The sequence below is a fragment of the Homo sapiens genome, chromosome 6 (assembly GCF_000001405.40).
Source record: "Homo sapiens chromosome 6, GRCh38.p14 Primary Assembly".
NCBI classification, from domain to species: Eukaryota; Metazoa; Chordata; class Mammalia; order Primates; family Hominidae; genus Homo; species Homo sapiens.
The window spans coordinates 75,269,692-75,284,397 of NC_000006.12; the positions used below are offsets into that span (position 1 = coordinate 75,269,692).

Here is a 14,706-nt window from a genome sequence, read left to right on the forward strand (position 1 = left end):
TGTTTGCTTTTTCTTTTTTTTTTGAGACGGAGTCTCACTCTATCACCAGGCAGAGCGCAGTGGCACAATCTCGGCTCACTGCAACCTCCGCCTCCTGGGTTCAAGTGATTCTCCTGCCTCAGCCTTCCAAGTAGCTGGGACTACAGGAGTGCACCACCATGCCCAGCTAATTTTTGTATTTTTAGTAGAGGCGGGGTTTCACCATGTTGGCTAGGATGGTGTCTATCTCTTGACCTCATGATCCGCCCACCTTGGCCTCCCAAAGTGCTGGGATTACAGGCATGAGCCACCGCGCCCGGCCCCATTATTTCTCTTAAATTCTTATTTTGGTCTTGATCTCCTGACCTCGTGATCCACCTGCCTTGGCCTCCCAAAGTGCTGAGATTACAGGTGTAAGTCACTGCGCCCAGCTGAGTATGTTTACTTTTGTAAGAAACTGCCAAACTGACTTCCAAAGGAGCTATACCATTTTGCATTCCATCATAATTCCTATTGCTCCACATCCTCCCTTAGCATTTGGTGGTGTCAGTTTTGGATTTTCACCATCCTACTAGGTATGTGGTAATATGTCATTGTTGTTGTAATTTGTAATTCTCTATTGATATATGATGTTGAGCATTTTTATATGCTTACTTGCCACCTGAATGTTATGAACTGAATGTTTGTGTCCCCCTAAATGTCCTATGTTGAAGCTCTATCCCCCAGTATGATGGTATCTGGAGAAGGGGCCTTTGGGAGGTAATCAGATTTAGGTGAGGTCATGAGGGTGGAGCTCCTATGATGGGATTAGTGTCCTTATAAGATGAGGAAAAAAGACCACAGCTCTCTCAATCTCTATCATCTGAGGACAAAGGAAGATGGCAGCCATCTACAAGCCTGTAAAGGGACCTCACTAGGAGCTGAATCTACCAGTACCTTGACCTTGGACTTCCCAGCCTCCAGAACTACAAGAAATAAACATTGGTTGTTTAACCCAACCAATGGAAGGTATCACCCAGCTGATTAAGACACCGTAGTACTCCTTGGTAAGGTGTAACATTTAGTGGCTTTTTAAAAGTCATACATTTGCTTAACAAAACTTGGTTTTGTCAAATTCCAGTATAACCTCCTATAGAAACAGTTTTCATCAAAGCTTATTTGTTTACTGATGAAATTGTTTAGAGAAACTTTTCTTTCACTGCATAATTAAAGAAGAGCTAGTCACATAACTAAAACAAACTGAAAACACAGGTCTCCCAAACGAAGAGAGGCAAAGCCTATGTAATCTTTCATTAGACCTGTTGGGCCACAACTTTGCACCTGGGGCCTTTTCATGCACAATATTCCACTTAAATACCAAGTTTTATGATGTTGGAGAGATGAAAGAAAAGACCATTCAGAAAAACAAACTATATTTTAAAATCTCTGTACATTTTCTCCCTCTTAAGACTAATCTAAGCATTAAAAAAAAAGTTGCCAGCTGAACTTATTCCCATATTATACGCTTTTGAACAGAAACCTCTCAAATCACTGTTTAGAATTAGTTTCTAGGGGCAAAATCTGCAAGAGAAATCATATTCTTTTTTTAACTGAACAAAAATAATCTGATGGAATTTGAAATCTAATAAATTATGCTACAGTATAAAATATAACAATATAACATTTTATTGGAACCAAGAGTAATCACTGAATATTAAATTACACATGAACAAAATGAAAGATAGCTATAACATCTTCATCACAATCTGATTATGATTTTTTAAATGTATTAAAAAATTACATGTCTTTTGATGCCATGAAAATCTGAAAGGACTATTTAAAAAAATCATTATCATTAATATATTAAGCCTATGTGTAAGGCATGACATTAGATACAAGATACACACAAAAGCAATCATACGTTATACAGTTTACACAGCCTGTTCCTTCACATACATATTTCATCTGACCCTCACCAAAATTCTATAGCATTATCTCCATTTTATATAAAAAGAACACATTCAGAAACTTGTCCAAGGTCACACAAGTAGTAATAGCTAGTGCTAAGCTGGAACCAAGGATTTCTGACTCCAAGCCTCATGTTTCTTCTACTAAACCATTTTTTCCCCCAAAATAGTCAGTCCCCTTTGCCCTCTAGCAGACTACTTTATCAAAGATAACATATAAATACCAAGAAAACTACCTTAAATTCTAAGTGCCAAACTAGATGGCATAGAGGAATAATAGATGGACCAACACTTCTTTCTTACTGAGAAGCAGCAAAGATTTGAACAGAGCCATAAAAGAAAGATGGAAAAGAGAGAAAGAGGTGGCATATGGAGAAGACAGAGGTGGAAATCACAAGGTATATTTAAGGACAATAGCATACACATTTTGTATTTATGGAGTTTTCATGTTGGAAGGAAATGAGGCAGCTAAGAAGGTAAACTGGACCCAAAACTATATACTGTATTTCACTGACTACTGTTTATTGAATGTATACTAAGTGCTGGGCATTGTAAGTACTTAATACACATGTAGAAAGTAGAAAAGCTCCTCTTCAAAGCTCATCTTGGTTTAAAAATAAAACAATAGACACTAGAAATAATAACTTCTTACTCTAAAGCCTCCTATCAACTATTAGTTCTTACACTTTAGCCCAGTTAGTTGCTTCGGCTTACTCAGGCATGCCTGGACAAGCCCAAGCAAGTCCTAGCTCATAGCTTATGCCCCTTCCTTATTTGGAAATGTTATTGCTTCCTTAAACCTTTCATAAGCAACTTCCTCTCCTTCTTTGTTCTCCCTTGCACTTACCTATTTAGGAAAGTTTTAGGTTATTAGCAAATCGGGTATCAGTTTAAAACTGTGAGGTCCAGCTCCAGCCAATGGATGCAGGATACGACAGTAAGGATGATCCAAATGCATAAGGGATAAATATGTTGCTTTTCCTTTGTTCAAGTGTGCTCTCACCATTGTTCCATCTTCAAGGAGCGCCCTTTCTGCAGAAAGTAAAGACTGCGTTTCTGAGAGGTCCTCTGTCTCTATGCTGACTTTTCTTCATGGCACTGATTATCTAACACACATCATCTCATTTTAAAAATACAATTACCCTGGCAATTGCTGGAATTGTTTCCAAGTTTTGTGGAACTGTCCATTGTGAGTTTTGGAAGGATGCAGGGCTCCACCTCCCACTTCAGAAACCAAAGGGAGAGATGGGTTCTTCCTCTCCATAAACCCATGGTAGCCAGTGTAAAGGTACAAGAGCTAGACTCAGCAATCAGACACTCCCACATAGACCAGTGAATCCTGGGAAACAAAGAGTGGATGTGATTAAATGAGCAGTCACAGTAGTAGTCTAGCAAGAGAAATTCAACAGCAGCTGTGGCATCTGGATCAGACTGTTTATACTTTCAAAACTCCCTTACTTCCCACTTGTCTCCAAACCTGACTCTCTGTACGTCCCATCCATTTTGTGTGAGAGTTACCCAATCCTCCTTTAATACTTTCTTTCCTGTCTAAGCTAGCCAGAGCTGGTTACTGCTGCTGACAATAAAGCCTCAGCAAGCTAAGTAACCGAGTGTTAAAATGTCCGGCAGGAAATAAGGAACTGAAGAGTTTTGAGGAGAACAACATAATCAAATATTTGCATATAAACAGATAGGAAATAGGACTTTCATTTCTTTCTGACTGCCCATCATGACGTAATCATTCATTCACCTAACATTTATGAATGCCTCTATGGTCCCAGCAATGAGGATTCAGCCTAGCACCTGACCTCCTGGAGTTCAGTATCTAACACAGAAAACAACATTAAAATAGAATGGATATTTTTATTAAAAAAAAAAAAAAAGTATAGGTGGTATGGCAATACAAGCTAGTCTAGTAGTCAGCAAATTTCTCCATGAAAGCTGCCGAGTAGATGTTATCTACAGGGAGAGAGTACAAAGAGAGACTACATCCCTGACTGGGGGCTTGGAACATGATATAGTTTTGATATTTGTCTCTCTTTGCTGCAGCATTTGCCAAATAACCTGTTTGTTAAATTTTCAGCACTCTCTAGATTACTCTTCAATAGGCAAATTTGTTTTGCCTTTAGATATGGATGGATATCACAGTTATACAAGTTTGATTTATAGTATATAATATTTTCCTTGGGTAATTTCAAGAACTCCTTCAGACCCATAATACCATTCAGATGACCAAAAAACTCTCAACAAACTGTGTTAAGATGTCTTGATGGTACTGACTGAGTTTCATTCACTCATTCAAACCTGAGTCCCTATTAGGTGCTAGGCACTGTCTACAGGATGAGAATACAAAATGGAAAAATACATTGTTCATGCTACAAAAGAATTTACAGACAAGTGGGATAGAAAGTCACATTTATGAATAATTACAGGATAATATAATTTTAAGGCAGGCTGTAAGCTAGTACTTCTGGAAACTGAGAGAAGCATATATACCAGGTGGAAAAAGGAGAATCAAGGAAGACTTTCCATGTTAATAGGAACTGCATGTGAAAATGTGATAGAATAAGAAAAGGAAGGTCATTTCAGGTAAACTATTAGCATGTCACATTCCAGAAACTATAGTAGTTTGCCATGACTAGAGCATAAGGTAGGGGAGTGGTAGGAGATGTGGCTAGAAAAGCAGAAAGTAGCCTATCATGAAGAAAATTACACTCTATGTAAAGGGGTTTGAACAGTATCCTGAATGCTAGACAGAAACAGCCATAAGAGAAATTTTAAATAAAAGAAGGAAACATTAAAACTAGCCTCTCAAAAAGAATCACTGTGGCACCAATGTGCAGAGAGATTAAAGAGAATGCCAGACAGAATGCCACCACAATAATCCAGGTGAAAAATGTTGAGAACTTAAACTAATAAAGTGGCAGCAGGAATACAAAAGACAGATTCACAAAAGAAAGAGAAGGTAGAATCTACAGAACTTAGTGCCTAGAGATGGGATGAGGGCAAATACACTTAGGTTGATTTCCAGGGTTTCTGGCATGAAAAACCCTATGGATGGTGATGCCACTCTCTGTAAGGTTTACCACTGCTTTTCATGTCACTAAATCAAAAGTCAGTTCTCAGGCCGGGCGCGGTGGCTCACACCTGTAATCCCAGCACTTTGGGAGGCCAAGGCGAGCGGATCATGAGGTCAGGAGATCGAGACCACGGTGAAACCCCGTCTCTACTAAAAATACAAAAAATTAGCCAGGCCTGGTGGCGGGCGCCTGTAGTCCCAGCTACTCAGGAGGCTGAGGCAGGAGAACGGCATGAACCTGGGAGGCGGAGCTTGCAGTAAGCCAAGATCGTGCCACTGCACTCCAGCCTGGGTGACAGATCGAGACTCTGTCTCAAAAAAAAAAAAAAAAAGTCAGTTCTCAGTCCTGCTCTTCTGTGAACCATGAGCAACAACATTTGGCATGTTGTTTACAAGCTCTTCCTTTGATTCCAGGGTACCAGTTTCCATGTTTTTGTCCTACCTCACTGGCTGCTCCTTTTCAGTCTCCTTTGCTAGTTCCTCCTTAGCTCCCCAGCCTCTAAACACTGGAGTGACTCAGGGATCTTCTTACTTTTCTTTGACCTATAAATCACTCTTATGATTTCATCCTATCTTAGGCCTTTATACACCATCTATGCTAATTAGGCCTTTATACATCATCTATGCTGATTAACCCTCAAAATATGTAACTCTAGTCTCAACCTTCCCCTTGAACTCTATATTTGTTTGCCTACTCATTATTCCCAACTTGGATGTCTAATGGCATCTCATCCTAACAAGTCAAATATTGAACTATTTATTCTGCTTCCCCCACCACATCCTCTTACTAGCATACTTAAAACCTCATTTTCCTACAATCTTCCCCATCTTGAAAAATGACAACTCCATCCTTCCAGCTACAAATCAAAATATCTTAGTCATCTTTGATTCTTCACTTTTCTCTTACACCCCATATATCAATTGCATGAGAAAATTCTTTTAGCTCTACTTTCATAAATATATTCTATATCTAACTGCTTTTCACTGCAACCATTCTACTGTGACCACCATCATCTCCTGCTTGAATTACTTGCAATAGCCTCTTAACTGGTTTCCCTGTGTGATATTGTGATTTACAGTAAGAAATACATATTTAATCTTTGCTCCCAGTTTCCTGGTACAGAGCTCCTAAAAAAAACTCTTACAGTCTCTGAGTGATGAGTGTCTTTCATATGCTAATGATACAATTGGTGGTTGGTGCCCCCTAAATAGCTTCAGGATGGAAGCTGGTCACTAGAAAGACCAAGGCATGAATAGACCTGTGGGAAGGGGAAAGGGACTGAAGGTTGAGTCCCAGGAGGCAGAGTGACTGAAGACTGAGCTGATCACCAACGGTCAATTATTGAGTCAATCATGTGTACATAATGAAGCCTTCATGAAAACTCAAAAAGACAGGGTTCAGAGAGCTTCCAGATAGCTGAACACATGGAAGTGCCTGAAGTGTGGCACCCCAGTGAGCACATGGAAGCTCTGAACCCCTTCTCCAAACATCTCCTTTTACATCTCTTCCATCTGGTTTTTCATCTGTATCCTGTGTAATATCCTTTATAATAAACGGGTAAACGTAAATAAAGTGTTTACCTGAGTTCTATGAGCCGCTCTAGCAAATAAAGCAAACTCAAGGAGGGCGTCATGGAAACACCAGTTTATAGCAATTTGGCCAGAAGTACAGGTCGCAGCCTGGGACTTACAATTGGCATCTAAAGTGAGAGGCAGTCTTGTGGGACTGAGCCCCTACCCTGTGGGATCTGATACTATCTCCTAGTAGATAGTGCCAGAATTTAACGAAATTATAGGACACCCAATTGCTGTGTGCTGGAGAATCTGGTGTCAGAACTGGATGGTGTGTAGGGAAAAATTTCCACACATGTGGTGTCAGAAGTGTTGAGTGGTGTGCGAGACTAGGAAATATGCTTTGGCTTTTTCCTGTCAGAAATACCCTGCTTTACTCTTATTTACCAGGCAATATTCTCCATGTCAAGGCCAGAGTGATTCTTTTTAAACATAAGTGAAATAATAACACCTATCTGTGCAAAACTTTTCAATAGCTTCTCACTAAACTGAGCGGAGAAGCCAAAGTTCTTATAGTGCTTCATGTGATATTCCTCCTAATACTTCCCAATACCCTCATCTTCTACCATTCTTCCCCCTCTACTTCAGCCATATTGGCCTCTTTGTTGTTCCTCAAACACCTAACTAAGCACATTCCTCAGGACCTATGCTCTTACTATTTCTTCTGCCTGGAACATTCTTCCCTCACATATCAATATGGTTCACTCTCTTCCCTCTTTTGGTTCTTTATTCAAATGCCATTTTACTGAGGCTTCCCCTGGCTACCCTATTTAAAATTATAAACCATCAACCCTTCCTTCATTCTTCTTCATAGGATTTTTTACCATTTAACATACTTCAAATGCAGCAAATTAAGGAGTTAAAGGGAGATGGGAATGGACATTGGCAATAAGCACGGACCCTTCTTTTTAAACAGATTGTGTGGAAAGAGAATACAGGAAACTACAGGAAACTAAACAAGAGGTCAGATGGCTAAAGTATGAATCCCACCTTTGTGACTAAGCAGAAGACTTAATCTCAGATTCAATGTCCTCATCCAAAAAAAAAAAAAAAAAAAAAATGGAGAGAATAATGTTACCCTTGTTAAGTGTCACTGTATCAACTAACATGATGTATGTAAAACTCTTAGCAGAGTATACTCTCAAAAAATGTTAGTCATTATTAATAGTTTTATTATGAAATACAATTAAGCCAGACACAGTGGCTTGCGCCTGTAATCCCAGCTACTCGGGAGGCCGAGGCAAGAAGATCACTTGAGCCCAGGAGTTTGAGGCTACAGTGAGCTATGAACATTGCCACTGCACTCTAGCCTGGGCAACGGCAAGGCCCCATCTCTATTTTTTTTAAAAAAAGGCCAGGTGCGGTGGCTAACAATGCTTGTAATCCCAACACTCTGGGAGGACATGGCAAGAGGACTGCTTGAGGCCAGGAGGTCAAGAGCAGCCTGGGCAACCAAGCGAGACCCCCATCTCTAGCAAAAATTTAAAAATTGGCCAGTCCTGGTGGCATGCACCTATAGTCCTAGTTACTCAAGAGGCTGAGGTGGAAGGGTTGCTTGAGCCTAGGAGTTTTGAGTTTGCAGTGCGCTACGACTGTACCACTGCAATGAAGCCCAGGCAACAGAGCAAGACCTTGTTTCTAAAAAAGAAAAATAAAATAAAAATAAAAGGATATTTTTGTTTTTTAAGGAGAAACCAAAACACATTTATATGCTGAACAGAGATGGAAAAAAGAGGTTGAAGAAAACAAGAGGAAGATGGTGATATTCAATACTCCTATAACTTTTTTTTTAAGTATCAGCAAAGCCACATACCTAACTCACTTTTCACATGAAAAAACATTAATGAGTTTCACTATGAAATCAAGTTGGATTCAATATTATTATAATCAATATAAAAATGCAAACATTAATTCCAGCGTCTAAACTACTACTCTCACGTCTATATGAGATCTAGCTCTCATCCTGATGACATACCATTTCACCACCAGATAAATCTTCCTCTAACCCTGTGTTGCAGAGACTGCTAATAGCAACCCCTCGCCTCAATTTCTATTCTATCTTTTTTTCACAATACAAAACTCTCACTTACTGAGAACCTTGTTATCAGAATGAAAACATTTTCCAGCCTCCCTTGTAGCTTGTGTGGCCTTGTTACTAAGTGGAGGTGGTACATGACAGTTTTCAAGAACCTTCTTTAAAAGGCCTTTATCTCTTTGTTCATCCCTTCTTCCACATTGCTACCGTGAAAAGGCAGTTAGAACCCTAGCTTCCATGCCGAACTGTAAGCATGAGAGCCAGTTCCTAAGAATGGCTGGGCAGTAAATGATTAGATCAAGTGAAGACTCAGTAAAACAGAACCTCCATGACAGCTTCACACTATGTTCCTAAGCCATTTTACATGAGACTGAAAATCATAATTACTCATTGCTCAACCCACTCCTAACTGATAGTGTAGCAATCATGTCACTTCCCTCGTTTAATATATTCATTATCAAATACTCAAGACTATCCACAATCTAGCACCAGCTAATTTGCTCTTACTCCTATTTTATCTATACACTTTTTGATTTCCTGCCACTAGATCGTTGTTCATATTAATCACCTTTCTTGGAATGCATCCAAACCTCCCCTAAAGAAGTGCTATTTATCAAGTACCAGCTCAAAGCCCACTTCCTACACAGTGTTCCATGGTCATTAGAAATAGATGTGATTGCATCCTCCTTTGAACTACCAAAGGATATTCTTGCCTGTGCCACTCACCTAGCAATGCTTAGTTTTCTTGTTATTGTGTCTCATCTTCCCCAAAAGATGCCAAGCTCCTTAAGAAGGTCCTCTGCTCCAAAAAGGTGTGTGGGGGGGTGGGCAGGGAGGGAAGTCCTGTGCCCAAACTTTCCCTATCTCCCACTATTCCCAGAGATGCACTTTGAAGAAAATGTATGAAGACAATGTCCAATGTTGATTAAAATCCTTTATAAATTTAACTCAGCTTATGAGTTTTCACCATCAAATAAAACCACAACACCCTTTATCAGCTAAAATTCAAGGGTAGCCAGACATAATGTCCAGACCTTAATAAAACCTTATGGGCCTAACAATCCTTTATTTTTTGAATAAAGTTGTTACCATGGGTTGTAACAACTTTATTCAAAAAATAAAGTTCACACTAAAGCACATAGTTCCTATCTTTAGAAACAAAAGAGGCTACCAAGTGGAAGACAAGCTACAGTTCTCTCATTTTGAAAAATTAATGCTTACTAACGTCAAGAGCATACAAGGCACAGTGCAAACTACAATGATAGTCTGGAGACTTGCCCATTAGCTAAAATCCAAGACAAAGAACCAGAGGCAAAATAGAACAGATGTAGATGAGCAGATAGGAGATATCACATTCTCAGCTTTGTTTTGCTACCACTGTAATTGTTCACCTAAGTCAAACTGGCATTTCTTCTTGGTAATTCTAAAAATACATTATATTTCTAAGAAACAGACTCAGAATTTAATGCAGTGGGAAAGGAGGAATTTGAAAGATGCGCATTTTTTACACTATATAGGAAAACGACTGGAAAACTTCCATTTTGAATGTAAATTTGTCAAAAAGGAAATCAACATAAGACCTAAACAGGTCATTCAACAAAATGCTGAGTAATAAGGTAAATCATTTTAAGTATTAATCAAATTAAGTTAAAAATCATATTTTAAGTACTCCCCCTTGAACTGATTATTCCACACTAAATGATTTATCTGAAGTCTTTTCGAGAGACCTTAATGAAGACAAAAGGTAAGTAAAACTTTCAAAAGCAACTTTCTTTAGGCTGCCTGATTGTCTGTGACAAAGAAATGAAGAATGATGTTCCTAAGCCAATATTAATGGTAAATTTTATATCTACTAAATCTGTACAAAGACAGAACCTAAGCAATTGCCAGGGATCATTACACCTATCTTGAACAATTATTGAGGACTAGAACATGTAAATTAAACACAGCTATTTGTGTAGCAAATGCTAACTTTGCTGGTATGATTCATTAAAACTCTAAGTCATGGGCAGGCAATTTTTTTCTGTAAGAGGCCAGAAAGTAAATACTTCAGGCTTTGTGGACCCAGAAGCATGGTCCAAGATATTAGGTATGTAGGTTCTTATGTAACAAGAGAGAAAACAAATTTGCAACAATTTTTATTGATAAAATTCAAAATGCAACAATAATATGTACAATTTTTTGGTAATATAGGTCTACTAATACTAATGAGAAGAATGGAAATTTTGGAGGAGACATTTCTCATAATTGGGATTCAAAGTTAGTGCTCTCCTATCATCAAATCGATTACAAATGTTCATCTGTTAAATGTTCCTGGGCCACGCAAAACATTCCAGCTGGCCATATTTACTTTCGCATTCCTTGCTCTAAGTACTAACATTACTTGAGAAACAAGTTAAAACACCACAAACCTTAATTTCCAAAAGTCAGCTTCTAAGTAACTAAAATCAACTTGAATATTAAAACCTTAAACTTTTTAACATAAAAGTGCCTAATCTTTAACGATAATTTATACAAAGCAACTTATTCTTCCCTGACTCTTAGCTAAAGCCTAAGTATAACAAAGATTGCTAAATACAGATGAGAAATTTAATCTCCTTAAAAATCTTATAATCTAATAATTCAATTTAGGAGTAAAAACATACATAAAAATTTTTATCAGAAACTAGGACAACAGAAAATAATCAGGATTAAATAATCGAGGGCAGTAAATAAAATAAGGTGAAGAAGAAAGTTGAGAGTTTATCAAACGTGGGGAATGGGGAGCTAATTCACTAAGATCTCATGAAAATGTACCTTAAATGTTTTTGGCAACACTAACTTGAAGTAAATGTTTAGTTTTTAAACTTAGTCTGAATAACAACCTAATCTGACTTAAACCATAAATTTAAAACTATGTAACTTCACACTGATACTTTTACAAAAGTTAAGAATAACCTCACTATATTTTTCAAGTAACCTCTGTATCTCAGTCTCACCAACAAGGGTCCTAGACTAGAAAATCAGTGCCCTTTGAAAGATGTGCCTGACTCACAATTGCCAAATTAAAGGAAATCTTCATTCCCTGCTCCTGATAATAAATGAAGATATTAAATATTTAAAATATTTTCTCGTGAATGATAAAGCAATTATGATTTTCTATTAGCCTCATTTTATTTAGATTATTGAAAATCTAAAAACCAACTAAACAAGATACATAAACCTAAAAAGTAGAGGAAATCTGCTACCAAATGTAAGCATTAAAATGTGAAAATATCTTTTTTTTCCAGGGGTGTCCAAGACACTTTTCAAAAGTAGTAATTTTTAATGTAACATTTCTGCGGGAATGAGAAAAATCCAGTGATTTTATACTTGAAAAAGTTTGGATTTTTGATTTTGGCACTTTAAGCTATATTAAAAAAGCATTTGGATTTGACAAGCCTCCTTTGCCCTAGTAATCTGAACTAAAATAGCAATGAAGGTTTTTTAAATAAAAAATAAAGTGTGAGTAACTTACAGTATGAAAGTGAATGTTGGTAAGAACTTCTCATTACCCATTTACAACTAGTGGGTAACAAAGGGTAGAGAACAAGCAGGAAACAAGTATGTGTGTTTGGGGAATTTCCAGACACAATTCAGAAGCATTTCTCTATACATTTAGCATCCAAACTTTAAAAATATATATGTGGATTCTGTCTGCACAACTGTATGTCAGTGTCAGTAAAAAATTCCCAATTATTCTTAATTTTCATTTCCTCCTGTTTCAAAGGCAATACAATTTAAACACATCCTGCTTTTTTAAAATCACATTTGAATTGGAAATCATAGAATTTTAGAGTTGAACAACCTCTTAGACGCAGTCTAATCTGAATCTTTTGGCTCTTCAAGTAAAGAAATTGGACTCAAAATTATACCTAAGATCACAAAGTACAGAGTGACAGAGCTGGGATTTCAACCTTAATTCCCTGACTCTTCAGTGCCCTTTTAACCAGGCTAAGCTGCAGCAGATTCTTCAGGCAACTTGAAATCAGAATTACACATGAGAGCCATTTGAAAAATTTCTATTTCGTCTACTACTTAGCGTGAAGAACCTTATTTTACTCCAAAACCCAAAGATTTTAAGAAAAGTTAAATATTTATTTTTATACTATAGTAAATACTAATGGAAGCTGAGTTCTGAAAATACTAATTTATATACAATTCCAAATTATTGCTATTTTCATCTTATTATCTTAAGAAGTTTAAATAAAATCATTCAAATTTCTGATGTTAAATTATTTTCTTCTACTTTACTAACATTGCAGTAAAAGGATCTTAGTGTAGGGTGAAAGCTTAAAGCTGGGAATCAAGACACCTGAGTTTCTGTCTCATTTTTTACAATACTCTCAACTAGTTTACTGTCAAATCTCAACCTCTCTATTTCTCTTCTCCTGATTAAGGATCAGGAGACAGATCCCTAGTGCCAGACATCTTATTTATATTGCTTCTAATTCTCACACCTTAGAAGATATGAATGATTCTACCTATTTTGCAGGAAACTGAAGCTCAGAGAGATTACGGAAATTTTCCAAGAAACTGAGCTGGTTAGTAGCTGAGCTGGAATTTAAAACCAGCTCTGCCTGACCCCAGCCAATGCCCATGTTCCTTGCATGACACCGCTTTGCCCATATCCTAATATAATGTGGGATCCCAGTATGGTTAGAACAAGTACTACATTTGCAGGACTATTAGGGAGATTAAGGTGATAAAACAAACTAAAATACATGCTGAAAAAAAATACTGTAACTCTCTAGTTATTAAATTGAGAATGAATTTTTAGTAAAAAACTTTAAAACTAGTTATTCTATAGATACTATTCTTATTACTGTCATCAACACTGAAGTAAGCACTGTAGAATTACAAAATACATCAATCTTGCTTTTAGAGATAACACTGCAAATTAAACTGGAACCCCATCCCTATTTCAGTAGTTAAAAATAAAATTACTCTCAAAGTCCCATTAAATCACAAAGTATATTTATTAAAATGTGTGTGTGTGTGTGTGTGTGTGTGTGTATAAACAGAACAGAAGGAATCAAGAGAACTTGGTACTAGTTCCTGCCCTTTCAAATAGATTTAGAAAAAAAAAAATTCTCAGATATGCAAGAAAAGATGAGAGATGCTTAATACTGGACACCTATAGAGTATATATTAATACAGTGTACTGTCAACCGTCTTCGCCCCTGCAGATAAAGATACTGTGCTTTCGACAAAGAAATGTTTCCCCAAGTTTTCCTGTCATGTCTTACACATTCAGCAAAGTTAATATCAGTAAAATGTTTGGTAGACAGTGCACAACTTACTCCCTGAGTGTGGTCACTGGCTCTTTTTGTAAAAAAAAAAAACAAAACAAAACAAGACAAAACAAAAACCCAGCAAAGGTAGGGCACATTAATAAACGTAGCCTAAAAGCAAAACCAGAATTGAAGTTTCAGGTTATCTTTTATGTACATCTTGCCCTACAACTAAAAATATCGAATTAGCTCAAAATGAAAAGTACTATGCACATTTGTCATAAGTCCTCATATGTGACCTGATAACATGCGACAGCTTCTTTACATTAGAATCGTCAATACCTCTACGACTCTGGTTCTTCTCCCAACAATGGCCAAGGTGTCCATCTCTGTGTCTTGGGATACTTCCCACAAAGGTAATGGCACTTTGACCCTGTCAATTCACTCAGGGTTACATCTACCTAGTTACAATTGCCCCCCGCCCCCACTTCTCTTTTTACCTCCGTGAACAACCCCCACTAATCCCCCACGGAACCACACAAACCGCCCACTGAAGAAGCGTTCTCCACCTGACCTATCTTCTGCATTAAACATTCATTCCGTCTCAGCTCATTCCGTGGATTTGCTCTTTCGTAAATCTCGAGCAAGACAAAGCTAGGACAAACCTGCAAATTCAGGAAACCCGCAGAAAGAGAAAGAAAAAACAGAGAAACAGAGGGAAGGGGGTGGTGGACGGCGCGAGGTCAGCCAGTCAACTGGATTCTGGGCGCTGGGAAAGAAGTGGAGTGGGCGCGTAGGACCCTCCTCCCGAGCAACGCCAACTCCCACCACAGCTCCCTCCCC

General features: G+C 37.8%; 1 protein-coding gene and 1 long non-coding RNA gene across 3 annotated transcripts in view, besides 4 other annotated features; both read right to left on the reverse strand.

The window, feature by feature from the left end:
• The window catches only part of TMEM30A (transmembrane protein 30A), a 31,869-nt gene that overhangs the window by 16,768 nt on the left and 395 nt on the right, over positions 1-14,706 (reverse strand). The gene's annotated exons all lie outside the window — the stretch shown is intronic.
• On the reverse strand, positions 1,622-14,620 carry LOC124901344 (uncharacterized). Its single transcript, XR_007059649.1, has 2 exons — positions 3,068-14,620; positions 1,622-2,957 (listed from the first exon to the last, which is right to left on the reverse strand). It is a non-coding gene; the product is annotated as an uncharacterized LOC124901344 (long non-coding RNA).
• Positions 1,677-2,637: an enhancer, noted in NCBI's record as "H3K27ac hESC enhancer chr6:75981084-75982044 (GRCh37/hg19 assembly coordinates)". NCBI's record gives its function as "activates a minimal SCP1, AML or CMV promoter by ChIP-STARR-seq in naive and primed H9 embryonic stem cells {active_cell/tissue: H9 hESC(naive and primed)}" and the evidence as "EXISTENCE:reporter gene assay evidence [ECO:0000049][PMID:30033119]".
• Positions 1,677-3,597: a biological region, named in NCBI's record as "MED14-independent group 3 enhancer GRCh37_chr6:75981645-75982844".
• Positions 2,238-3,437: an enhancer, noted in NCBI's record as "MED14-independent group 3 enhancer chr6:75981645-75982844 (GRCh37/hg19 assembly coordinates)". NCBI's record gives its function as "activates an origin of replication core promoter dependent on BRD2, BRD4, P300/CBP and CDK7 cofactors, and independent of MED14, by STARR-seq in HCT116 cells {active_cell/tissue: HCT116}" and the evidence as "EXISTENCE:reporter gene assay evidence [ECO:0000049][PMID:35650434]".
• Positions 2,638-3,597: an enhancer, noted in NCBI's record as "H3K27ac hESC enhancer chr6:75982045-75983004 (GRCh37/hg19 assembly coordinates)". NCBI's record gives its function as "activates a minimal SCP1, AML or CMV promoter by ChIP-STARR-seq in naive and primed H9 embryonic stem cells {active_cell/tissue: H9 hESC(naive and primed)}" and the evidence as "EXISTENCE:reporter gene assay evidence [ECO:0000049][PMID:30033119]".